General features: G+C 47.2%; 1 annotated feature.

Annotated features, from left to right (window-relative positions):
* Positions 909–1,078: an enhancer, noted in NCBI's record as "experimental_7663 CRE fragment used in MPRA reporter constructs". NCBI's record gives its function as "activates a minimal promoter by MPRAs in K562 erythroleukemia cells, with activity observed for both the introgressed and non-introgressed 1:37580435 variant alleles {active_cell/tissue: K562}" and the evidence as "EXISTENCE:reporter gene assay evidence [ECO:0000049][PMID:34662402]".

The raw sequence follows: 1,363 nt of genomic DNA, 5'->3' as shown, positions 1-1,363 counted from the left end.
AGTCCACAAAGTGGCTCTGATCCACCCTGCTCACCCAGTTTGGGGTTTTATGATCACCACTGCTGTGAAGATTTCTGCTGGTGTCTCCAGGTGCTCATGGCAAGCATTTCTCTAAGGTGAGCACTTAAGAAGGAATCACTGGGTAGCAGGGCATGACAGCCTTGCTTTTTATGACTTTACCAGGTCCCTGGATGTATTCTGCAAATCACAAGGAAATCACACCAGGTCAGTCCTGGTCCTGCCAGAGCTCAAGGATAGGCAGTGGACATACCGACCTCTCAAGGCTCCAGGGCTCTGGGATTCTGCAGAACTGACAACAACCCTGTGTCTTCTGCTCGTCTACTCCCACTTTTCACACCCAAAACCTACATGGAGCTCCCCAGGACATAAGGTTCCTGGGGGATGAACAAGGTGAGCCCTGGGCTTCCACCAAGGGCTAGGGGCTGCATCTACTCTTCCCACCTCTTGGCACCAGAGCGGGGAAAGCAGCATCAGAGGAGAAATGGAAGGATTATGGATACCTTCAGTGAGGTCAACATAAGTAAACTCTACAGCTCAACTTCCACATCTGTTAAATGAGAGACTGTCTGCCTCAGATTGTTGTGAGAATTCAAGTGAATTAAGTACAGTGCTTAGAAGAGTGCCTGCCATGTAGGAAGCACCCAAGAAATGTTAACGATATTATCACACACACAAATACACAAACACAACATCTATTCACCAGGTTACACACACATACACATACACATACAGATACACAGTAATGGCTTCCATTCACTTAGCTTATTTAATCTTTACAAGAATCCTGTGATGAAGGGATTCCCATTCCCATTTTATAGCTATGGAAATTGAGGCCACACAGTTAGTACTTGACTATTCAAACAGAGGCCTTTCTAACCTGAAAATGCAGACTCTTAATCTCCATGCTGTCCATCCCCTCTGCCTCTCCCACCACAAACATCACACATGTCACACAGTCCATTCGGTGTTTTATTGAACATCCTATATGTAGGGTGAGGCTTGGGGCTGTCAAAAAATATGTATCTCATGCAACCATCACAACTGTGAAAGGTGGCTATTATTTGATCCTTATTTGACAGGCAAAGAAACTGCAGTTTGGAGAGATGAAGTGGCTTGTTCCAATTTTCCCACTCAGTATGTGGCAGAGCTGTGACTCAAATCCATGGGCCCTGGAGCCCATGGTCAGCAGACTTGGGGAGCAGGTAGCCTTATGCCTTAGGTGAAGGCCAGGTGAGACTCAATCTATACAGCAGGTGCAGGTATGTGCATCCCTCCCTGCTGAGCCCCATGCTGAAGATGCATGGTAAGGAGATACCCAGGCACTGTGTGACATCTCCAGGGG

The sequence above is a fragment of the Homo sapiens genome, chromosome 1 (assembly GCF_000001405.40).
Source record: "Homo sapiens chromosome 1, GRCh38.p14 Primary Assembly".
NCBI lineage: Eukaryota > Metazoa > Chordata > Mammalia > Primates > Hominidae > Homo > Homo sapiens.
The sequence above is the reverse complement of the archived record's forward strand: the minus strand, read 5'-3'. Positions and strand labels throughout refer to the sequence as shown.